We start from the raw sequence: 25092 nt of genomic DNA, 5'->3' as shown, positions 1-25092 counted from the left end.
AAAACCATCAGATCACATGAAAACTCACTCACTATTAAGAGAACAGCTTGGGGGGACTGCCCCCCATGATATAATTGCCTCCCATGAGGTCCCTCCCCCAACACATGGGGACTATGATTCAGATGACAATTTAAGGTGAGATTTGGGTGGGGACACAGAGCCAGACCATATCACTATATATACTGTTTTTTCCTATACATGCATAAGTGTACAGTGTGAAAATACTGGACACAGGGAGGATTCAGGTCTCAAGCCAGACAGAGCAGGATGGTGCTAGATTTCCTTACACTGCTCAGAAGGGTATGCAGTATAAAATTTATAAACTTCATTTTTTTAAAAACAGAGACAGAGTCTCCCTATATTACCCAGGCTGGTCTCAAACTCCTGGCCTCAAGCAATCTGCCTGCCACAGCCTCCCAAAGTGTTGGGATTACAGGCATGAGCCATGCATAGGGACTGAATAGTTTATTTCTGGAATTTTTCATTTAATATATTTGCACCTCAGTTGACTGAGGGTAAGCGAACTTGCAGAAAGCAAAACTGTGGAGAATGCGTGACAACCACGCCGTGTTATCTCGCTGCATGAGGTCCCTAGAGTAGCCAAACTCAGAGAGACAAGAAGCAGAATAGGGGCTAAGGGAGTGGGGATGGGCAGTTGTTTAATGGGTACAGAGTTTCCGTTTTACAAGATGAAAAGGGTTCTGGAGATTGGCTAACACAGCAATATGAATCTATGTACCACTACTGAACTTAAACTACCACTTACAAATGTCCAACACGGTACACTTTTTGTTTCTGTGAATTTTAACATCATTAAAAAAAAAATAGGAGGCACATGCCTTGCACACCCACATGCTCTTAAAAGCAATTTTGTTTTAGAGCCATTTCTGAGACTTTTGTATACTGCATTCTCAATATATATGTATGGAATTGAAACTCCTATCTGTGTTTCACGAAAGGAAAAGCCGTCTGGTGGCCAGAGAGAGGACTTTGACAGGACAATAAAGCTCCCTACCACACCACGTTTCATATAATTGGAAAAATCTTAGGGGAAGTTCTGGGCCTGCTACAGAGTTGTTCAGCTTCTGGAACCTTCCTGCCTCTGCTTCTGTGGCCTCAGCCCTCCTTACTTAGAAAACAGACTCCACATATAAGCAGCAAAAAAGAAAGGAAATGCATAGCCTTGTGTGGCACTTGCCTTGGTGATCCTCCTCTCTTCCCCTCGCTCTCAGCAGACCCCAAGTCTGACTTCCCAGAGGGCACACAAACCACCATGTTCCCACCCCCTAAGTTACCAACATACGTGCAATGAACCTTTCCTTGGATCTCTAGCAACTCTGCTGAAATGGATTTTGTCAAGGCCAACCAAGGTCAGCCATGCCCTTGCTCCTGAACTCCATGATCCTTCCTACTTTCTGAACTTCTCTTCCTTTAGTTTTTTATAAGGGAGGGTTTTCCATCTAGTTATCCATGTATTCTCAGTCCCCAGTACATCCATCCTCCCAGCCCTTCCAAATTTCTCTTCCTCAGAACAACTCCCTCATCTTCCTTCTCTTCTCAGTCTGTGTATTCTGCCTGGGGGATTACACTTTCTTTTACAGCCTTTACCATCTCTACACTAATGAATCTCCAGGCTAGATTCCTCTTCTAAATGCCAGATTTTTATATTCTAATGCCAATTACTCCATTTAAAAACCTGTCTGTATTTCCTTCCACCCCCAAACCTATTTGCCCCAGTCCTGCTGGCACCTCCATGAATACCACCACCATCCTCCAGGTGCAGAGGCCAAACCCAAAAGCCATTCACAGCTTTCCCTCCCTCACCCCCATCTAACATCTAAGTCCTATTGCTTATGTCTCCTAAATATCTTCAGAATCCACGGACTCCCTTCTGCCATGTCCCCAGTATTGCCTGCATGTGGTTGCAGCAGCCTCCTCCTGCTCCAGCGGTAGCCCTCTCTACTGCGGGCAGGGTCCCAGCAGATGGCACATGGCGTGGGTACTTGAAGAATCCCTGTTTACAAAGGTTCTTGCAGAGTTAATGAAGCCAACAAAGATGGAGAGTCACCATGGGGCTAGCAACAGTGGGAAGCCTTAGGCACCTGAACCTGAAGGGAGCTGTTATTATTACATGTAACTCAGAAAGAAAACCGTGGCTAGGAGAAAGGTCTGCCAGGCAGGACTGTGGCTCACAGCAGGGGAACAGAGCCATTGCCAATCTGAAGCCATGGCAGGGAGGGAGCTGGGGAAAAGATACCCCGATTTCTCTCTCCTCCCACCCTCTTATCTCCTGCTCCTGCCTCCTATGGGCTGAAACTGCCTGGAAACCAGAGGGCAGATCAACCTGTTAAGCAGTCTAAGAAACATCAGCTTACTGGTGCTCAGAGAAGAATGAAGACAAGTAGCAAGTGAGTCTGTAGGGGCAAATGAAGAATCCCTGGCACGTCCTCTCTAACTCAGTTTCCATACTTCAGCTTAAGCAGCTTAAGTAACTTTTCTCTTTTTTACTTTCTTTCTTTCCTTTTTTTTTTTTTTTTTTTTTTTGAGATGGAGTTTCACTCTTGTTGCCCAGGCTGGAGTGCAATGGTGCGATCTTGGCTCACTGCAACCTCTGCCTCCTGGGTTCAAGCAATTCTCCTGCCTCAGCCTCCTGAGTAGCTGGGATTACAGGCGCCCGTTACCACGCCTGGCTAATTTTTGTATTTTTAGTAGAGACAGGGTTTCTCCACGTTGGCCAGGCTGGTCTCGAACTCCTGACCTCAGGCGATCAACCCACCTCGGCCTCCCAAAGTGCTGGGATTACAGGCATGAGCCAATGGGCCTGGCCTTAAGTAACTTTTCTATAGCACAAATCTGATTTTGTCATCCCTTTCTTAAAAGTATTCAATGGCTCCACGATGCCCCAGGATGATGTGAACCTCTTAATGCCATCCCTGCACAGTGTGGCTGCCTAAATCTCCAGGCAGGCACCCCGCCGTCTCCATCAGTGCCCATATCCCGGGCCCTGATTGCCCTTCCTCACTGTCCACTCCAGCCATTCCGAACTGATGGGCAATGCACTGTCTGGTATCTACACCCCTTTGCAAGCCAAATTCTTCCATCCATCAGTTCTCACTTTAGTTGTGGCCTCTTTCAGGCAGCCTTTTCTAACCACCCAAGTTGGGGCAAGTGCCTCTCCTGTGATGTGGCGCTCTCTCCTCATTCCTATTACAGCACACTGTATTCACTCATAACATGCTATTGTTTCTATCTATTTCCTGTCTATGTCCCCCACAGATGGAAACATACCGAAAGTCAACACTGAGTCTCATCTGCTGTGACAGCACCCAATAGATATTTGCTGAATCAATGAGTGAACCTCACGAAAAACCCTGTGACATTGATATTCATCTCTCATTTTTATAACTGAGGACACTGGGATCTGGAGATGTTTAGTGATTTTTCCAAAGTCACAAAACTGGCTCTAGACAAAGTCCAGATTAATGAATCCATGTTTTCTAATTCTTTGACAGGTACCTGTTCTACCTCCCTGGGCTGCCTGCCAAGGATGCCCTTGGTCTGCCAGAAAAAAAGTATTGCTGCTTTGCCCTGATACACACAGAAGTCTAGATTCCATTCATACCAATATCGGTCCTTCCTCCCCCATGAAGCATGTGAGATGCTCTCTCTCCATCGCCAAGTTTCTTCTTTCTGCTGGTTTCTCTGGCAAAAAGGCAAGAGGCAAGAACTGATGTGGGAAACAGTGGCAGAGAGTTAGAGAAAGCAGGTAAGTCCGAAGGCCAAATCCTTTTGCTGGGCAGACTGGAGAGAGGGAGAGACATTGAGTCACTGCAACCCAGTACCCTGACATGACCCAGGAGTTAGTTGCCCAGCAAGCTTGACCCAACACTGGAATGCTTCCCACATCAACCTGCACTGTGGAAAAATCCAGTTCCTTTTGCAGCATAGGCTTCTCCTTCCTCCTCTCATTAAATGGAGAATGTTTAATAGAGCGATTGCAGGCTTTCATCCAAAGCAACAAATAGCTAGCACGGCTGGCTCTCGAAACGCTAGCAGGATGTCAACATGGGAGCCTTGGAGAAATTTTTCTTGAAGAGTACTTAAGTCAATAATACCAAGGAGAATGGTGAGTGTGTGCAGCAGCCTGAAGTGGACGTGCTTGGTGAACAAGGGGCACAATATAAAGAGCACAGCGGCCTGCCCTGCACTTTCCACTCACCAAGCAAGGAGCCGGGTGGCCTGGGGAGGCCTTCAAGTACTTTGGAAATGCACAGAAGCCTCCAGCACTCCCATTCCAAGGAAAAGGGGCCATTATGTCCCTTTTATAAATGAGGGTGCAGCAAAAAGAAGTGTTTTGCCCTGGTTCAAAGCACAAGAAGGTAGGAAGGCCAAGGGGGAATTCTGACTCTGATTCTGACCCTGCTCTTATCTGGCAAGGGTCTCCCTGGACAAGACAATGGGGAGCTGGTTACAGGGCTTTGTCCCAAGCACCCCACTTTCCCAAGAAAACTCTCAGGGGTAAGTGTCCCCAAAATAGGGCAACATAAGGATCTAAGTCCTTCGAGGTACGAAACAAAGTGAAAAACGATTGAAAAGTAAATGGATGGATATAGCAGCAAAAGCTTGGGGCTTGGTCAGTTGAAGTGAGGCAGCTTCTGATGTGCGAGCCCTCGAAGGCTCTAGAGAAAGAGGAGGTACACTTAGGTTGCACTTTTGCCTGGGGGATCGCCAAGGACTTCACATATGAAGCCTTTTTACAAATGAAATTTTAAAGAAAATTGTACTCAGAGCTTTAAACAGAGTGCCCTTAATGGAACGGGCTCCATCCTAACATGATGTTGCCATAAGTACCTCGAGGGTGGGAGTCAGGTTGTATTTATTTGTGTTCCAGTGCCTTACATTTTGTGGCAGGGTAAGGGTGGAAGAGAGAGAGGAAAGAAGGGAGGGAGGGAAGGGAAGAAGGGAAAGTGGGAGGAGGATGAAGGGCAGGAGGGAGGAAAGAAGGGAGAAAAGGAAGGAAAAACACAAAAGGGGAAGTTGAGATGTAGGGAAGAAAAGAAGAAAAGATTTTCTCCTCCTTTTCTCTTCTTAGCAAAGACTACAAGACTTCAGAGTCACAGCTGGCTACAAACCCACCCCCTGCACCCAGTACCACTAGCTGGAGACACTGGAAGATGCTCTTGTTATTCTCGGATCACCGCCTACCCCCAAAACCCATCCTCCCTGCTGCCTTACCTGAGAAGTTGAACCCCAGAGACAGAAAGGATCACCTGCACTCCTTGTACTGGGCCTTCCCATCGGCCAACGTGTGGCATGAACGAGGCTGCATCCCTCTTCCATAGCACCTGCACTCGTAGGCTCTGCAAATTTCATCCCCACCTTTGGCCCTTCAGGCCTAGGGCAAGTCACAGCTCCCCAGAACTGTTCATCCCCAGGTGTCTCGCCATCCCTAGATAGCACCTGTAAGCCTGACTACACCTCTGTAAAGCGTGCCCTTCATTAAATTTTCTTCTGTTAAACCCTTTGGAGTGGGTCTTGGTTTTCCTGCCAGAACCATGACTGACATGGACAGTTACTTAACCTCTCTGAGTATTGACTTCTTTGCCTCTAAAATGAGGATGAAAATATTTACTTGGCAAGGTTATGGCAAAGGTTATGTGAGATGACCTCTATGGAGCATCCATTATGTGTCTGGCACTATACGATGCATTTTACATGCATGAATTCTCCTCTCTGCCTTTTTGAACATGCAAACAATACCTTGCCCCTAGACTGTCTAACAGAAAAGAGCAAGGATGAACTTTTAGCTCATCGTCTGGGTCTAGCCTTCTGAAGCTACAGGGTCTGACAGCTTGGGTGGAAGATGAAGATGTTTGCATTGTCTCACAGCTGGAAGGGAAGCACATGATGTGCTCTGTGTGTGACACGGGCCTTGCTAACAATTCCAGGCCCTACCAGCCAAAGATAAAACCTGTACACATGCACAGTGTTCTCTACTTTAGCAAGGAAGGTGGCCGTGGCCAGCTCAGCTTGGGATCTCTTCCTCAAGGCCGCCTTGTGAGATCCACTCATCCTGCAGGACCAAGGCACTCAGCCTGGCCAAGGGCTTCCATTTTGTAGGGATGAGGAGAACTTTACTAAGCTAAGGGCTCTGTGGTCACGGCCAATCATCTCTACACTCAAGTAATAGAGTCAAGCATCTTGATCACTAATAATCACTGTAAAGGATTAGTTAAATCTCCAGAGAAAATCCAACTCAATCTTTCCATAATGTCATTCTTTCAGTGAGTATATAGGAAGGACTCACCATGTGTCATTATAGGGGGCTGAGCTGGATAGAATACAAATTTAAGCGCAGCCAGCATCCTTCAGGAGCTTAGAGTTACGTGGAGAAGCCAGGCATCCAGTACCTTATGCAGTCAGTCACCAGCTCTCCACGTGCACAAAAGCTCGGATGGAACAACTCATGCATGGTTTGGCAGCTCACCAGAGGGTGACATCAAAGTGGGGAAAAGTGGTTGCAGTTGTCTTCACGGCAACAGAAGAACAGGGGAACTCAGGACGTGACTTTCCAAGGTTACTAAAGTCCTGATCTGCAACTCATTTGCACAGCCCACATCAGAGTGTGCAGCTTGACAGCAGATCTGATCTTAGCCTGACTGTTTACTACCTTCACAAAGTCATCCTTCTGGTAGTTGTTTGATCGACCTGTTCAGACCCTGGGTTCTTTTTTTGTTTTAGATGCAGTTTTGGTCCTGTCGCCCAGGCTGGAGTGCAGTGGCATGATCTCGGCTCACTGCAACCTCTGCCTCCCCAGTTCAAGCGATTCTCCTGCCTCAGCCTCCCAAATTAGCTGGAATTACCGGTGCCGGCCACCATGCCTAGCTAATTTTTTTGTATGTTTTAGTAGATATGGGGTTTCACCACATTGGCCAGGCTGGTCTCAAACTCCTGACCTCAGGTGACCCACCCGCCTCGGCCTCCCAAAGTGCTGGGATTACAGGCGTGAGCCACTGTGCCCGGCCTGGGTTCATTTTTAAGCAGCTCCACTGGTTCTTTTCCTGTGTTTCCTATATTTGCTACATTTTTTCACTCTCATACTTGTTGTTATAACCATAATTTCCTATGATCAGTTTACAAAGAATAGCCAATCATTCACGCGGAAATGCATCCAATGGCTTTTTCGTGTTTCATCCAACCCATGATTCAGGACTCTGTGATCTTCTGTTACACTTCCAGGTATTGTAAACACCGACACTTTACAGAAGAAAATTAACAAAAAGCAGAGAAAATTTTTTGTTTTGTTTTAAAACATTCAATATGTAGGGTTTTTTTTCTAATCATATTTTTATGTAGCTAATCTTTTAGGCAGGGAAGTACATTTTTGTTAATTTCTGTACTCTGTACAATTTCTGTATAATGGCATATTAAATATTTACACAGATCTGATGAAATTAGGAACAGCGGCAGTCATTCCTTTATTTCATTTTATTGTGCATCTACTAGGTGCCAGTCACTGTTTTTGGCATCGGGGATAAAATAGTGAAAGAAATGAAGTCGTCCCTCTCTTGGTGATTACAATCTAGTGAAAGGAGGTGGAGAATGAGCATGTCTATGGTAAATCAGGTAGTAATATATGCTGAGAACAAAAAATAAAGCAGAGTACAGGAACAGAGGATCAGGTGCTGTTTTAGATCAGGTGGCCAGCAGAGGCCTCTTGGATAAAGCGAGAGACCCTAATAGAGGGAACAGCCAGTGCAAAGGTCCCAAGAGAGCAGAAGTTTGGCAGTCTGGGAAGAGAAGTAAGGAAGCCGGTGTGCATGCAGTGGAGTGGGAGAGCGGGATTAGTTGTGAAAGAAGGGATCAGAAAGGCAATCAGAGTATGAATCACATAGGATCGCCCAGTCCATGGGAAGAACTTTGGGCATCATTCAGAGTGAGCTGAGAGTCTCGTTAGAGAGTTCTGAGCAGCACATGATACAATTTACGTTTCAGATGGTCCACTCTGGCTGCTGCTGTGTGGAGAATAGACCTCAGGGGGAAGCGGTGTCAGGGCCGGAGTGGAGGGGCCACCACAATCATCCAGGCATGAGCTGACAGGGCCTCAACTCAATGTGACGTGCATTTCATCTTTGCCATCTTCTTTCCTTGATTCCCATAAGCCATGTTTGTGTTTTGCTTTGCTTTGTTTTTTTTTTCATCCTTGGTGGAAATGAAGTTTCATATGTCACAGCTAACCACAAAATATAGACTCTCTTAAATAAAACATAATGTTGGCTAAAATTATGGTACCAGTATACTCTTTTTATCTCATTCACTCTAATTTGAAGAAAGAAATATAAGATTCTCTTTCTTTTCCTGCATGAAAATCCTCCTAGCAGTAAGTTTCAGATTTTTGAGAGATTGGTACAACATCAGATTAGAAATTGAGAACTTTGCTTTATTAAATGGACTTTTCTTCTAGTAAATTTTTGTTTAACCACTTCTAAACTGCTTATATCAGACTTTCAGAAACTTATCCTTTAAAAAGGAATGCCTATGATGCTAATTTTCAGAGATTGAATCATATCTGAATTACGTTATCTGACAGTTTTCAGGTCTATAAATGTAAGATCATCACTCAATTTCCAACTTACAGTCAACACACAAAAAAGGGAGAAAGCGAAGTATGGCATTGCTAGAGACTGTATCACTGGTTTATAATATTCAATGTTCTCCCTACAGACCAGGGCCTGCAGAACAATTATACTTTCCTCCTTGCCAAGATGAGGCTTGGCTATTTGATTTGCTTTGGGCAATGAAATGTGAGTAAAAGTGGCCTGTACCGTACCTGAGCAGAGGCTTTCAAAACTAACACATGGTCTCACCATTGCTCTTTCCCTCTGCCATGAGGCTGACAGAGGCACAGACAGGAACTGCTCCTTCAGCCTAGGCTCTGGAATCAAATGACATAGAGTAGAGCTCAGATTGCCTGCAAACTATGACTTGAGAAAGAAAAGATCTTGTTTTTGTTAAGACATTGAGAATTGAGGGCTGCTTGTTACTGCAGCATAACTAAACCCAAGCTGACTGGTAAAGACATAAACCTGTTTTTTACCTATTTTTGCTCCAAATAGGTGGAACCTTAGAGTGGGATCTGTTGCTTTCTTACAGTTTATTATAGCCAGATTTGGACTAACCTAAAAGGACCTGAAGCAAACTTTAGTGGCATTTAGAAGATTTGTTAAAGTCTCAAGAAGTCCCTATGTTCTCTCCAGGTTACACTTTTGGGATTTTCTAATCCGGAAAATCTCCAAGGTGCAATTTCATTTGGACCTTCCCCTTCAATATCTTAACCTGGGGCCTGGGATACAGAATATTTCCCAGTCTTCCTTAAAATAGTAAGCTTGATTTTTGAATAAAGACCTGTTGCCATGACAGGGTGGTGAAGATGGACCACTGAAATGATGTGCCCTCCAACAGACTGGATAATGTTGGGGGACAGAGTGTTATCACTCCAACTTGCTTCCCAGATCTTGGGTTGAGTATTGATAAGGTCTATCAATAACTTAGCCTTTCACGGAATGTCCTGGGGTTACTTAGAGATCTTCCTAAATGTGAATATATATCAGATAATTTGTAATTTCCCAGCTTAAAAGTCCCCAGCGGTTTATGAATACACTTCCAATCAGCATCTAAACTCCTTCACATGACCTTGCGAGTTCATAAGCATGAACTGGCCCCTGCCTAGCCCTCTTATCCACTGCCTGCCTTTTTCTCCATCAACTTTTTCTTCTCCATTTGTACTGGTCTTCTTTCAGTTTCCCAAATACATCAAAATCTTTCCCTGGTTAGGGACTGCAATTATTGTTTCTTTCTCCTGGAACATTCCTGACTCTTCACCTATTTTATTTTTCAAAGCATAAAAGACTGTGGCTGAACAGTTGGGGCTCCCCTGAGAAAGGGTGCTAGGAGCACCGTGTTCCCAGCAGCAGCCCCGGCACTTGTCAACTCTCAGGATAGACAGGAAAGCAGAGAAAACTGTCAGGGAAATCCCTTCCCACCCTTGCCTAGGTTTTCCCAAAACTTCACCTTCAAATAATTGCCATGCCCACTTTTTGAAGAGGCCCCACCAAATATTGTTGAAAACCACTCCATAAATCAGAGGTGCTAATCCCAATTAATATCAATAGTGTGCCTTTTTGTTGCCCATCTTTTCTGTCTCTTCCCAATTCAGTTTTCCTCCAGATTTCTGTCTGGTTCTGTCTGTGTGGCCAAAATGAGTGACGAGTAATCAGAAGGCAAATCTTTTTGCAATGAGGAATAGAGATCTTATCTTCCTTTAAGCAGCTGGGACTAGTACCGGTATCACTTCCCTTGCCTAACAGTTCTAACCTGAAGTGTGCTATTTTAAGCCATACATATGATTGTTGTCACTTTGTCCCCTAAAACCTACATAGGTCCTATTTTAAGTATCTTGGTTCCCTTTATTTCTGCAGCTTCTGACTTCAAGGGGGAATAAAGATAAATTATTTTATTTCCGTTGTCTAATTTTCCATATTCCCTAGGGACCATACTTAGAGCTCACCCCGCAGAAGAAGGAAGGCCGGATTGTTGAACGGTGATTGGACCCAGTGCTGGTTACTTGGCTTTGGAGTTAAGAAAAAGTTCTTTCAATGGACTGTGGTTTATCTGAAAGGACTAAAGAGAGCTCTCTTTTTTCTGCGACATTCTCACTGACAGACAGAATGCTTCTCTCTACATTTTGCAACAGTGTACACAGGAAACAGTGCAATTTGACAGCCAGGCCCAGGATCCATAAGTATGTACACATACACATACACACTTTTGCATGTATCCAAACCGAAGAAGGATGAAGGGCTTCTTCTGTAAGCCAGCAATAAATCACTGTAGAGCTAACTACAGTGAGGATGCCTAGAAGGGACAAAGCAAATACTTCATTCCTGATTATCATCCAAAATTTGTGGTGTTTTTGACTCTTTTTAAGAATTTTGCCATCATCAGTGTGATCCCTATTGAAATACTCTGAATGTTTCAACTCATTACAAACAATATAAAATATTACACTGCTCTTACTAATAACAAAAGCTAGTATCTTTGACTGCTTAATATACGCCAGATACTAGACTAAACAATTCGCATGAATTACATGATTTAAGTGTTAAAGTAATCCTATGAGCTGGATTACAATTGTTTGTTGTTAGCAGTGGTGGTGGTATAGCTATCATTTTCTGGATCATACAGTGAAGGCTTAGAGATGTTAAGTAACTTGTGCATAGGTCTCACAACTAAGAAGGAGTACAGCTGAGTTTCAAATCCCAGCCATCTGACTCCAGGACTCATGCTCTTAAGTGGAAATTGGTGTCCCACTATGGAAGCTACTTGGAAGAGCAGAAGAACAAAGTTCACCATTTAAATAGAAATAAAACCAGTATCCATTTTACCTAACAAATCCCATTCCATCTAGCAGGCTGCCTCCCTATTACAGTATAGACTGGGATGATTTCTTCAAATTCTGTGTTCATTTCTCAGTTACACAGTGGCCATATTATGTCACTTGAGCCCTACCCATAGGAACAATCTTTAAGTATCCCAGTCTTATTATGAAGTCTTTGAGTAATCCCCTAAATCTCATTGGCTAGGGTCCAAGATGGAATCTTCTTATACTAAATTCCACTCCAAATTTTAAAATATTTTCATAAGGACCCAGTACATTTACAGAATGTGTGAATATCCCTCTTCCCACTTAAAAAATGAGAGAAATTCTGGATGAGATATTGCCACCAAGATAGATCATCTTCTCCACGTTAGGATTGTGGAGAACCAAGGAAATATCATGATATATGGAAGAGGAGCTGAGTGGGAACCAGCCCTTCTGAAAAGACCTCATGAAATACTCACTTAGAAAAAGGCACTCATAGTTCAGCCTCTACTGATTCAAAGAACAGGGTTGAAATAATTTACATTCGATGTCCACATAGCAGGGAGTATAGAATTCAGCTCTAAATACTTTTTTTAAAACCAGACAAATGTTTCTTTGGGGGAGTGCACTCTGACAGCCAGGCCCAGGATCAACACTAACGTGGTCAGACACTTGTGCGATGAGCTGCAAAAATCACAGCAGGCGTGGGGCTGCGGGCAGCCTCCTGGAAAATGTGACAAATAGCCGAGCTGCCCACCCTGGGACATACCTGTGTACACCAGGATGCGATTCTGACTAGTAAGTGTATTAATTATGCCCAAGGCCTGGCAATAACTCTTAGGGATTCTGTAGCAGAATTTCCAGGGCAGTGCTCTGAGCACTGTCAGAGGAGGCATGAGGTGGACCGGGAATATTCCCACGTGTGGCCCTAGGCTTCCCTCCAGCAACCACCTTCCATTTCTTTAGCCACATTAAATCATGCCCAAACCGGACTGAGAAGTAGAAAATGGAATAATTCAGTTACTCCCTTGAATAGCTCCCCGAATTTCTACTGGTCACTACTATATTCCTAGCATGCCTGGACCTTATCATTCTCACTTCCAGCATTTTCTTTCATCTTCCCTAGAGGAGCCCTGTGCCCCAGGTAAGCCCATCTCCCTGCCCCTTCCATAACACGTGGCTGCTTCGACCTCCTGGCCTTGGAGGATGCTTTCTCCCAACCCGGGGAGCTCTCTACCCCTCTCCACAAGCTCACTCACCTCCCAGCCCCTCTTCAGATCCTGAAGTCTGCTCAATACAGACAGGTGGGTTGGTTATATGATCATCCCACCCCACTCAGCCCTTTTCACCGACAATGGGTGAAGGCTGAGGGGAGGTGACTGCAATCAGAAAAGGATTGCTTTATTATTTTGTGGGTGCTTGCTTATCTGGCAAGCCTAAGTCCCATGCACGGGAACACCATGGAAGGCCAGTGAGTATAAGACTCTCCACTGCCCACCCAGGAGAGACAGGGGGGTGACGGGGATGGGCATAAAATAGAAAAATGAGAGGAGTGGGGACTCATCTGAGGCTGCTCTAATTCAATGGAAGGGTGATCCAACGAAAAAAGTGGAGAACCATCTTACACCTTCTGGAATTTGGCGTCTAGAGCTGTCTATCAGCAAGATTATGCCCTTGCTCCCCACATGGCTTTGAGACATAGTAGAAGATAAGAGCAGGGCTCCAGAAGATTCTGAGCTGCCCTTGCCTTCCTTGATTGTACCTGGTTCCATGCCTTTCCAGCATTCATTATCAGTACTGCACACACTTGCTCTTCAATTGCCTGTCTTCTATTTTTGCTTGCTGTCTGGTTGTATACTTTCTTTCCAAATGAGTTGCTAAGCTGGAAGGCAGGGCTTGTCTCCCATAGCCTGGAACTTAAGTATGCGCTAAGTTATATAATTTAAAAAAATCTCTAGTAAGATGTAGTTTCTCTGTTATTGTGTCATATAAAAACAGCAGGGTGGATTTTCATCATCTTTGCAGAGTTTCAGATTTTTTTTCTTAAAAAAAAAAAAAGAATTTATCAGCTTACAGGTCTGGAGGTCAGAAGTCCAAGATAGGTCTTACTGGGCTAAAGTCCAGGTGCCCGCCAGGCGCAGTGGCTCAGGACTGTAATCCCAGCACTTTGGGAGGCTGAGGCGGGTGGATCACCTGAAGTCAGGAGTTTAAAACCAGCCTGGCCAACATAGTGAAACCCCATTTCTACTGAAAATACAAAAAATTAGCTGGGCATGGTGACGGGTGCCCGTAATCCCAGCTACTAGGAAGGCTGAGGCAGGAGAATCGCTTGAACCCGGGAGGCAGAGGTTGCAGTGAGCCGAGATCACACCACTGCACTCCAGCCTGGGCAACAACTGTGAAACTCCACCTCAAAAAAAATAATAAATAAATAATAAAGTCCAGGGGCCAGCAGGGCGGTACTCCTTCTGGGGCCTGCAGAGGGGCATGTTTCCTTGCTCTGTCCAGCTGCTAAAGGCTGCTCCTTTCTTTGGCTCAAGATCCCCTTCTCCACCTCGGAAGCCAGCCACAGAGCATCTTCACACCTCTCTCCAACTCCCACTCCCCTCCCTTCCTCTTTCCCCTATAGGGATCCTTATCAAGGACACCTGTAATGGGGCTCAAGACACTCTACCCTACAATAGGGCACCAGTGCAGAGTGAATATTTTAAGCCAAAAGAATTTCAGAAATAGCAGGTGCAGGAAGGTCTCTCTGACTCCCCCTGCCCTTCTCCCCTGGGGCAGGTCATAAGAACCTCATGTGAGAGGAGCCCTCCTTACACTTAGAGGAAGACGGCATCCTTATCTCCAAGATGAGGGACACTCAGAGGAATCTGAGCAAATGGGTCTTGCTGCTCCCCCAGTTTCTCACCCTGAGCTTATACTCCTTTTGTTTTCCCTCAATCATATTTTTCCACGACTCTCCATTCTTCTTCAAGCCTACTGTAAAAACACTCGGGTTTGGCCAGGTGTGATGGTTCATCCCAGCACTTTGGGAGGCCGAGGCAAGTGGATCAGGAGGTCAGGAGATTGAGATCACGCTGGCCAACATGGAAAAACCCCTTCTGTACTAAAATATATACAAATTAGCCGGGTGTGGTGGTGTGTCCCTGTAATCCCAGCTACTCAGAAGGCTGAGGCAGGAGAATCGCTTGAACCCAGGAGGCGGAAGTGGCAGTGAGCCGAGATTGTGCCACTGCACTCCAACCTGGGTGACTGAGACTCGTATCAAAAAAACAAAACAAAACAAAAAAACACTGGAGTTTAACTGTTTCTCGGGGGTCTTCATTTCCTTGTAAAGGTCCCCATGTCACATAAAAATTATATTAAATAGACTTGTATGCTTTTTTTTTTTCTTGTAAATCTATCTTTTGTTACAGAGGTCCCAGTCAGTGAGCCTAAAATGGGTGAGGAAAAGAAACTTTTCCTCCCTTACACTTGGCTAATTCAGGATACTGTCTTCTCAAGGTTTTTAACTACAGCTGCAAAGTCCCTTTTGCCATGTCAGGTAACACAATCACAGGTTTAGGGGACATCTTTGGGGGACACATCATTCTGTCCACCACAAATGGGAGTTGTTATTATCCACAGGCCTGAAGGGGCGGGAAAGGGAACTATTTCTAGAACCCAGAGAGCAGTATGATGATGGGGAGGTGGTGGGAGGCCCATTGGTGGTGGTAATAAATGCCAGAATTCAATCTCTTCTTACTTTGTAGAGTCTTTTTTTTTCAAGATGGACTGACTGAAAGTAGATGCTGCACAGGAGCCCATCTGAAGGTTCAGACACTGTATTGTAACACAATGAAGGAAGTCGATGTCCAGACTCTAAAGCCAAGTCTCTGGGCTCAAATCCTAGTGCTACCATTTACCGGCTGGGTGACCCTGGGAAAATTATTTCATCTCTCAGTATCCCCATTGCAAAATACAGATGATGACACGAATATCTAATTCATAGAGTGGTTGTGAGCATTTAATGAATTGGCATTCATGAAGCACTTAACACAGCTAATAGTAAGTGCTATTGTTATTATTCTTCAGAGAGATTGAAGTGGATTTCAGGGAGAACTCTCTCCATGCTGCAGACAGAGAAAACAAAAATGGTTTAAGAGTAGAAGTTACAAAGTCAAACACTCTGAACCACAGGTCCTGATTTTCAGACAACCTGTTTCTCATATTGGGCAAGTCTGTGTGGACTCCCTCCAAAGTGCAGAGCAAGCAGGATTTACATATTTAACAAGCACATCTGGAAAGGCCGGTTAGTGCTCAAAACATACCTGTCAAATCGCATCAAAGCAACAGCTCTGATGGATTTAAAATATGTCCTCAAAAGACAAGATGGTATGTAACTTTGGAAAGTAAATCATAAAAGGCATTGTGGTGTCCTTCTTGGTCCTTTTCTTGGATAATTTACTACAGCAAAAATGAACTGCCACATCATAAGGACACTTAAGAAGCCTAGGGAGAGACCCAGGTCATGAGGAACTGAGGCCTCCTGCCAATAGCCATGTGAGTGAGCCATCTTGAAAGTAGGTCTTCCAGTCCCAGTCAAGCCCTCAGATGACTGCAGCCCCTGTTGACCCTCCTGACAGCAACATCATGAGAGACCCTGAGCCAGAATCACCAGCTAAGCAGCTCCCAGATTCCTCAACCACAGAAATTGTGAGATAATAAAGGTTTGTTGTACTAAATCACTAGGTTTGGGGGTAATTTGTTACACAGCAAGAGAGAACAAAGAGAAGCTCTTTTGTTGATAAGCTATCAAATAACCTGTCTACCCCTTTTACCAGTATCATCTTAACACTTGTTTCAACATCATGCATATGTGCCTGATTCCACGCATTGGGCAGTGAACTTGAATCCTTTAGGGTTTGTAAAGGCATTCTCAACGTGTGCACGTGTACCTCTAGAGAACCGTGGGTATATCTTAGGGGTCCTCTTTGCACGCCCTGTCTCGGATATGGAAGATAATTATTTAGATGGTGCTGGGGTAGTGTGCCCTGTTACTATGGGTGCCCATCAAACCTTTTGTCGTTTTTAAGGATCTTATCAAAGCCTTAAGAAAATTTTTCTAATTCATTTGTAAATAAAATCGTAATTTAATAGGGCCTGTCATTCTCTGGTAATGTCTCACACAAATAAACACACAGACTTAGCAAGCACTAAAGTTCATTCACTTAGCATTAAGTAATTATTAATAAAGTTAATTAATAATGAATGTGCCAGCCTGTTGTCTTTACAAAACCAAAAAGACATAATCCCTGCCCCCATGATCCCACACTATAATCACATAACATAGTTATGTAGGAAGTGCAGTGGAGAGGCAGCCCAAGACTCCTGCAGAAGAGTAGGGAGACTGCATGGGCATTAAAGAGAGCATGTTAGCACTGAGACCTGACTTTCACTTTCAAAAAGGATCTTTGCAGCAGCCCCAGCGCCCCTATTCTTTGGTGGAAAATCAGAAGGAAAAGGAGCATGATGTTTCTGATCAGCAGTATTAGCCAATGCCTAGTGGAGGGTTCAAGGTCAACAAAAGCACCAAATAATATCTACCATAATCCAAGAAGTCCACAGTAGCCCTGAACACCCGCTTGGTTCTTGTGAAAGGCTGTTGAGTGCTCAGTGATGGGCAGGGTCACAGCAAACATTGCTTTTCCTCGGCCAGCTTTGTTCCAGGTCGGTCTGAAAGGTACACAACACTGCCCGAGCTCAGAGGCCGGCAGAACTCACAGAACAGGTGGAATTATGTACCAGAAAGAGACTTGAGAGTGTTTATTCACTTGCCAGATTTATTTATCAGGTACGGGATTGAAAGGATTTCCCCACAGGATATGTAGAGATTAGTGTGCAGAGAAAATGCTTTTTCAACAAACGCTTACGCTAATCAGGCCTTGGTTTTCGTATCCAAGCACAACAGTGTTTGCCGCCCTTCCCAGGCATTACTGGTAAGAACAAACACACACAGTGACAAACAAAGAAAGCTGAAATGTGGACACCTGTCTATCACTCTGAAGAGCAGCTGTCACTTTTTAAAAGCCCACAAACATATTTTAATGATATGTTAGATATGTTATATTAGCTCCTTTACGATAAAGCCAGTCTAGGTCTACCTGAGCCTCAAACATTTGAATGAGAAGGGAAAATTTCTCTCATTCAGTACTTTGTCTACTTGGAGCCAATGATCAGATCGAATGATTTCCAGAAGCTTCTCAAGCCCACGCTAGGTCTAAGGAATGCATTCATTAAGAATCTATCGCATCTAAGCTTAAAAATGCAGCTGAATGTTTATGGGTCTCCTGAAGGGCAAGTTGAGAATGAGGACAAGGCCACTCCAGCAAGCTTCTTATATAACCGCCCTCTTTCGCTGTGTCTATAGAGAGGCCAAAGCATCCAGATGAAAAGTGAAAAAGTCATCCCTCATCTGGTCTGGCTGATGCCGAACATCTGGATGTTATATAATAAGCCATTGGGGTCGTTTTTCTTGCTCTCTTTTAAAAGTAAGCCTAACAATTAAATCTGGATTTTAAACTCTAAATTTCATCTATTTTTCATAAGCTCTTTGAGCGGGCTGGTCTTGATTATTCTCCTCCATTAAAAACTGTACAGGAATGCTCAGAGAGGAAACTGCTCAAATAGAGCTAACAGCCACAAAGGTAATCTCTGACCCTTCCTACGAGTCTTCAGATTTCCATTCATCATGAGTAAAGGGCCTTACCACAGCGAGGAAAATACCGACATGCGAAATGTTCATAGGCATCCGTGACCTCACTTTGAAAAACACTCACTTCTGCACAGTGGCTCAGTTTTACACAAAAGTGAATCATACCAACAACTCAAGCAATTCCTTTCTGTTCAGTTCCTTACAATTTTTCAAAGCTCCTTGAAACAGGACAATGGACTAGAAAGTGCTCTCAGGCCACACCTGACCATAAAGTCACCAAGTTCTTGGTCAAACACAATGCATACTCGTGAGGAGTGAGCCTCGTGGCTCTCTCCGTACCATGCGTTCTTCTCATTGAACCCCGCTCCAGGACCGGCGGCAGCCTCCTTTAATTTATCAGGAGCTGGTATGCCTTTCTCTGCTCACTGGAGTCTATTTTCACTTCCCTTGCTACTTTCTTTTGCACCTCTTGGTTACTCCTATAGCTAACTTCCAGCCATCCAGTCCCTGCTAAAGAAACAAGCACAGAAGCAAAAAACAATGAAACACCATGTTTCAGTCACGGTAGTGGCAGCATTTTGTCTTAAAGGAAGGTAATATCTCCACATTATTGTGGGAAAATTGGGGCTTAAGAAGATTAAGTAACTTGCCTTCCATGTGGCTGAGTTGAGATTTGAATTCGGATCTGTTGTCAGAAATGGCAGTGTCAAACAACAGATAGGCGCTTGGCTTTTGAAGTCAACACACGTGGGTGCGAACTTGAGCTCTGGTGCTTAACTGTGGAACTGAGCGAATTGTTAAACTTCTCTAAAGCTCACTTTCCCCATCTGTAAAATGGAGATAATGACAATAGTGTCTCCATTGGGTTTTGTGATCATAAAAGGATTGTAGAGTACTTGGTTTAGTGACTGGCATGCTAGCTTTCATCATCATCATTATTATCTACTAGATTTCCTATGTTTCATTCCGTGACACAACTTGAACAAGAACACTCTTGTCTTTTGCTATTAGGTTTTTAAACAAATGCCCTAGTTATTCCACATTCAGCTGCAACTAACAAAAACCCAGTGAAGAATTGCTTAAACCATCAGGATTTTTATCGTTTACTCAACAAACAGTTTGAAAGTAGATGGTCCAAAGGTAGATTTGGTAACTGAATGATGCCATCAAGGAATCAGGCTCTCATGTATTATCCCTCATGATCATCAGATGGCTGCCACAGCTCCAGACAGCACATCCTCATATGACAGAATGGAAGAGAGGAGACAAAAAGAACGTTCTCCTCGTGTTCCTCTCTCTTATCAGGGAGGGAAATATTTCTCAGACGCTTCCATCAGAATTTACCTTACCTTTCCTTGGTCAAAAATGGTTATATGACTACCCCCAATCTCAGCAAAGGAGAATGGATTGCCATGGTTGCCTTAGACCAGGGGTCTTCAAACTTTTTCTGCAAAGGGCCAGATAGCAAAGAATTTAGGAGGCCATACAGTCTCTCTCACTACCACCCAACCCTGCTGCTATAGCACAAAAGTAGCCACAGGTGCTAAGGAAGCAAATGAACATGTCTGGGTTCCAACAAAACTTTATTTACCAAAAGAGTTAGCTGCTGGGTTTGGCCAATCCTTGCCTTAGGTCAGTCACCACGTCACTGAGTACTTGGCTGCCCTAACTAAAGTTGGATTCTATTAGCAAAGAAGAAAGAGGAATGGCTATGTGTAGAGCCTGCCACAGGGACGGTGGCTCCAAAACACTCCCGGGAGAGTTGAGATGTGACACTGTGAGAACCAGATACTGATGGAGGACTGTCAGGAAGCCAGGGGCTACATGTGGACAGACAGACAAAAGGAACTTGCCATCCAGTGTTTCCCAGCGTCCACACCAGTGGTTCAAATTGCTTTGGAAGAGCCCCAGGATTCCTCAGAGGTCCCTGGCTTGTGTGTATGGGGAACCACATGGAGGAAGTCATACCCGGGTCCCTCCCCCATGATTTTAACCAGAGCCCTTTTGCTTTTATCTGCTTTACAAATGGTGTTCCTATATATGGTTTGGGGAATTTTGAGGCAGGGAAGAGGGAGCAGGGGAAAATCTTAATGATAATAAAAATTGAAACCACTAGCATAGAGGATTAGCATCTAATCTGCCATAAAACATCCCTTTCTAATCTATCTCCCATGATCCCACTAAGTAACCTCTGCCCCCGTGAGATGCTCTAGCCAAGTAGGCCGAGTGTTCCTCACGTTACTCCAGCATTGCACCTTCTCTTCAGCCTTGGACCTCAGCTCATCTGCATGGCTGGAATCACCCTCTTCATTCTGCTTGGATAGAAAGTTTCCCCAATTTTTGCCAGTCTAATGAAAACATACTTATTTTGTACTTATTATGTACAAGTCGCCAAGTTGTAAAAAGGAATGAGAAACATAAAAGATACAGTCCAGGCTACGCACTTTGGGAGGCTGAGGCAGGCGGATTGCTTGAGCCCAGGAGTTTAAGAACAGCCTGGGCAACATGGTGAGATCCCATCTATACAAAGAAATAACAAAAATTAGCCAGCCGTGGTGGTGTATGCCTGTAGTCCGGCTCCTGGGGAGGCTAAGATGGGAGAATTGGTTGAGCCAAGGAGGTCGAGGCTGCAGTGAGCTGTAATCCCACCACTGCACTCCAGCCTGGGTGACAGAGCGAGACCCTGTCTCAAAAAAAAAAAAAAAAAGAAAAGAAAAGAAAAAGAAGATACAGTCTCCTTCCTCACAATTTCGTAATCTAGTTGTACAGAAAGAACATAAATAAATGAAAGCTGAGTACAATGATGAGCATGATTAGAAAAATCGATTAAAAATAAAAAGAACAGATACTTGCAAATGAGTTTTACCCTGCATAGATCCCTTGGAATACATGCTTTCCAGTAAGGCTGCCAAGACACACTTTTTGGGGGACTTTTTTTGGGAATTACATTTAGTTCCATCTTTTAAGCCATAGAAGAAAAGCAGTCTCATTCAGTTAGAGTGCATCCTATTTCATTTTACCAAAAATGGTTTCTCAAAGCTTGATTGCTGGCTTTTTCACTGGACTCCAAGTGGTGTCTGGATGGCTCCAAACATCCTATCCACCATCAAAAGAGCAGTTTCCAGGATCGAACATATTTAACAGATGTGCTGCAGGTTCTGAACATGATTCCACAAAAGATGCCCCCACTGTCTAAGAGGACGGCCACTCTGCAGCCACGACTGCGCCCCTGAAAGCACAGGACAGTAGGGGAGGCTCCTTCAGCTGACACAGCCAAGGATGCTTCTGAGCTGGGGAGGTTGGAGTTAGGGCTTGAAGTCAGGCGAGGTTTGGTTAAGAATGGAAATAAGGATTCAGCGATGGGGAAGCATTTCAATTCCACAACTAGACACTGAAGCCTGGATTCAAATCCCAGTTTTGCCATTTACCAGTTGTGGACCTTGATGAATTTCTTAACCTCTCTGGCCTTCAGCCTCCTCAATTATGCAATGGGAATTATAAGAGTTGGTGAAGCACACAAACCTAATTAATAAGTTAAGAGATGTAAGACACTAAATGTGATGTCAATGTTTGCTATTATCCGTATTTTTATATTATCCCCTATGGCAGAATGAAATCTCATTGACCGGCTTTCCTGGTTAATCTCATAAACTGTCTCATTTTTCAACTATTACAAAATATAGTCCAATCAAACTGAGAAACGTGACCACCTCATTCAAATCAGTACTTCTCTCCTCCTTCCAACACCTGGAGGCTGGCTTAGGTCTGGAAGCATGTGGCTGGGACGGGGACCCAGTCAGTGTTTGTTCCTGCTTCCTGGATCCCCCACCTTCTCCAATCACTGGGTGATTCTGGAGGCTGGAAAGTCCAAGGTCAAGGTGCTAGCAGATTCAGTGTCTGAGGAGGGCCTGTTCTTCACAGATGGCACCTTCCACAGGTTCTCTCATGGTGGAAGAGGCAAGGCAGCTTCCTTCGATCTCTTTTATAAAAGCACTAATCTCATTCATGAGGGCTCCACCTTCATGACTTCATCGCTTTCCAGAAGTCCCACCTCTTAATACTGTCATATTGGGTATTAGCGTTCACAAACAAATTCTGGGGGGACATCAACATTCAGGCCATAGCAGGTTTCTCAGGGCCCAAAGAACAAAGCTCTTCAAGGAGGATTCAGCTGCATTTGGGGTTGGTGCCCTTGGGAGTGGCAGATGTGCACATGCTGGCTCTTCTGCGGATGCTTTTCTGGGTTTTCTCAATCCTCTTCCCCTGTTGTTGCCAGTTCACCAGCTGCAGCTCTGGGACATGGGTAGCCCCTGTTAGCTGGCACTCACTCGTCACCCTCAGGTCCTGGCATGTGCTGCTCACCTCGCCCCTGTGGGGGGATGTGGGTCCACCCTGCCTCTAGGGAGACTTAGTGCATGTATAACTCACTGGCTCTTGGAAGAAGAGGTGGCTCCAAATACCTCCTTCTCTCGCCACTGCAAACAGCCGTCTGCTTTGCAGGTTGCATCTGTCCTTACACCTCCCAAACTCCAGGAGACACCTAAAGCTCTTCAGGGAGTTCTCTGGAGCCCAAGTCATTTATCTTGAGGTAGGTGGAGAAGCAAAACATATAGACACCTCTCTAAAAAGAAAGACCCACTGCTGGCCTCTCCTGCATCCTTAGCCTCCTATCGTATCACCCCAAGGCGAGGCTGGTGTCGGTCCCTTAACAACACCCCAGAGAGGGTCTATACCTCACTTGAGAATGGGGGTGGGAGTTGTTTGACCCATATATTGTTCTGTGTTGGGGTCTCAGCAGAAATTCCAGCAGTCACGAACACAGAGTCCCTTTGAGTGTCCTGTTAGGGGCTGGAGTAGGCTGGGGGCATCTTTGGATATTACCTGGAGGGCAGCCCAGTGTGAAAGGCCTGACTACCAGGGAATGGAATCCGGGCTTCGTGGTGTAGACAATGGGCAGGCAAGGTGTGTTTCTCTTTCCTTTTCACATGTAGGTAAGTGCAGCCCCAGTTGCTGGACTTGCCTTCACATCCACGGACCTGCCCTTTCCCAGGGTCAGCTGGGTTCAAAGGGCTCTCAGAACGTTTTCTTTAAAGGAAAAATGGAGAGTGGCAAACGCGTGCCTAGGTGGGAGCAGGGAGTAGAGGGGGGCGGTTTAGATAGCAGTAAGGGGACATCAGACCAGCTACAAGCCAACAAGGAAAAAAGTGACGTAAGGAAAAAAATCCCAGGGAGCAGAGAGAAAAGTAGACTCCCCAATGCCTCGCAGTAAATGAGGACGCCTGGCGCCTGCGGCGAGGTCAACTGAGGTCAGACGAGCTTATCTCTCCTGTCCCGGGAATTAAGGGCATCCTGGGGACAGCTGCAGAGCAGGAGGCTCCCCGTGCCCTCCTCTTCCTAAGCAAGTCAGGATCCCAAGAGGCGCGTGCGGGGAGGCCCCTCCGAAGGGCTGCTGGCTTGTGTCTTCCACCAGCGCAAAGGGAAGCTATCGGTTGCTTCTGCAGTGAGGCAAGCTCAGCCGGACGCCCAGAAGAGAGACGAGGTGTCGCTGTCGGGGTGTCTGCCTGCCTCTTTAGGATCAATTATTAGCGTACAGATCCTAAAACAAAACAAAACAAAACACTCCTGAAAACATCGACTTGCCTCAGTGACAGGCCCCAAGTTCGGGACGCCAGGAGACGCCAGCGGGGCTGTGAAGTGCAAATCGCCCCGAGGCAACCCGAGAACGGGAGGACTGTCACCAGCCCGCCAGGAGAGTGCGATGCCCCGGTCCGTTCCGGAGCAGGGAAACTTTTGCGGGAGGCTGCGCTGGCACCGGCCGCCTGGCGCGGCTCGCGCGGACCCGGGCGACGGGACACGCAGCGCGGCACTGCCACCTTGTGGGCATCGGCGGCAGCGGCGCGGCGGGGCGAAGCCGGCGAGGCGAGCGACCCGCGGCTCGGAGCCCGACGCCGGCCAGCGAACGCCCGCAGGAACGCGCCGGCCGAGCGGGAGCCCGCGGGGGCGGGGCGCGCGGCTCCGGTCACGTGGGTTAGCAACAGGCAGCAGCCAATGAGAACGCGAGTCAGGTGGTGCGTGCGCCCGCCGCGCGCGGGAGGTAAGGGGCCCGGGAGGAGGCGTGGGCGCGCCACGGGCCCGGTGGGACCGCGGGTGGGGAAGTCCAGAAAGCTTGCTCTTCCCTGTCAGGAGCCGCCTGCCGCAGGCGGGATGAACGAGAGCTGTAAAATGGGACTGTCCCATTCCCACGCTCCACGGCTGCGACCCCTGTACGGGGCAGTGGGCGGCGGCGCGGGTAGGAAGCAGGCGGGGAGCGACGCGGAGAGCCCGATTTGTCCCTCCTCCAGCCACTTGTTGCTTATCCATGGGCCTGGGACTGCCATTTGGATCCACACAGGGGAATTAAAACAAAAAGAATAATGAGGCTCCTGGCCGTGGCGGGGTGCGCATTGGCCCTCTTGCCCTGCGTGTAGCAGGTGGAGGAGACAGGCTCCATCCTTAGAGCTTCCCAGAGCCCAGGGTTGGCCTGAAGACACCAAAGCAGAGGACAGCCAGGAATTGGGTCAGAAAGAAAAAGCTTCGTTGGTTTTAATTATTTTAAATAGAAAAGCCACATCCAAAAGTACCAATAATGATTTTTACAGTAAACCCACTATGTTGACATAAACCAGCCCACCCCTGAACGCACAGAAGACCGTAGCACAAACCGTGAGAGGCGTATTGAAGGACTGGGGCAAAATCAGGACCGACAGGCAAGCGTGGTTTCCATCAGGGTCTTACTCCTCTGGCTTCCTAGTTTAGGCAGATTTCACCCTGTTAATAGGGTCCGTGGATCGGTCTCTCTTTCTCTCCTCTCTCTCTAGCTCTCTATCTCTCTCCCTTTCCACCTCGTGTTTCATTCCTTTGAAACAAATCCAGGGAGCAGATGGCCTCAGAAGGGTATCTAATCCATGCCTGGCCTCGAGGCACGTACTATAAG

At 45.9% G+C, this 25092-nt stretch overlaps 3 annotated features.

Annotated features, from left to right (window-relative positions):
* Positions 510 to 710: a silencer, noted in NCBI's record as "peak5670 fragment used in MPRA reporter construct". NCBI's record gives its function as "represses an SCP1 promoter by STARR-seq MPRAs in K562 erythroleukemia cells {active_cell/tissue: K562}" and the evidence as "EXISTENCE:reporter gene assay evidence [ECO:0000049][PMID:32103011]".
* Positions 23570 to 23629: an enhancer, noted in NCBI's record as "active region_24049". NCBI's record gives its function as "activates an Ori minimal core promoter by ATAC-STARR-seq in GM12878 lymphoblastoid cells {active_cell/tissue: GM12878}" and the evidence as "EXISTENCE:reporter gene assay evidence [ECO:0000049][PMID:35858748]".
* Positions 23880 to 24319: a silencer, noted in NCBI's record as "silent region_16944". NCBI's record gives its function as "represses an Ori minimal core promoter by ATAC-STARR-seq in GM12878 lymphoblastoid cells {active_cell/tissue: GM12878}" and the evidence as "EXISTENCE:reporter gene assay evidence [ECO:0000049][PMID:35858748]".

This window comes from Homo sapiens, chromosome 6 (assembly GCF_000001405.40).
Source record: "Homo sapiens chromosome 6, GRCh38.p14 Primary Assembly".
Classification (NCBI taxonomy): Eukaryota; Metazoa; Chordata; class Mammalia; order Primates; family Hominidae; genus Homo; species Homo sapiens.
This window is presented reverse-complemented; position numbering and strand designations above follow the sequence as displayed.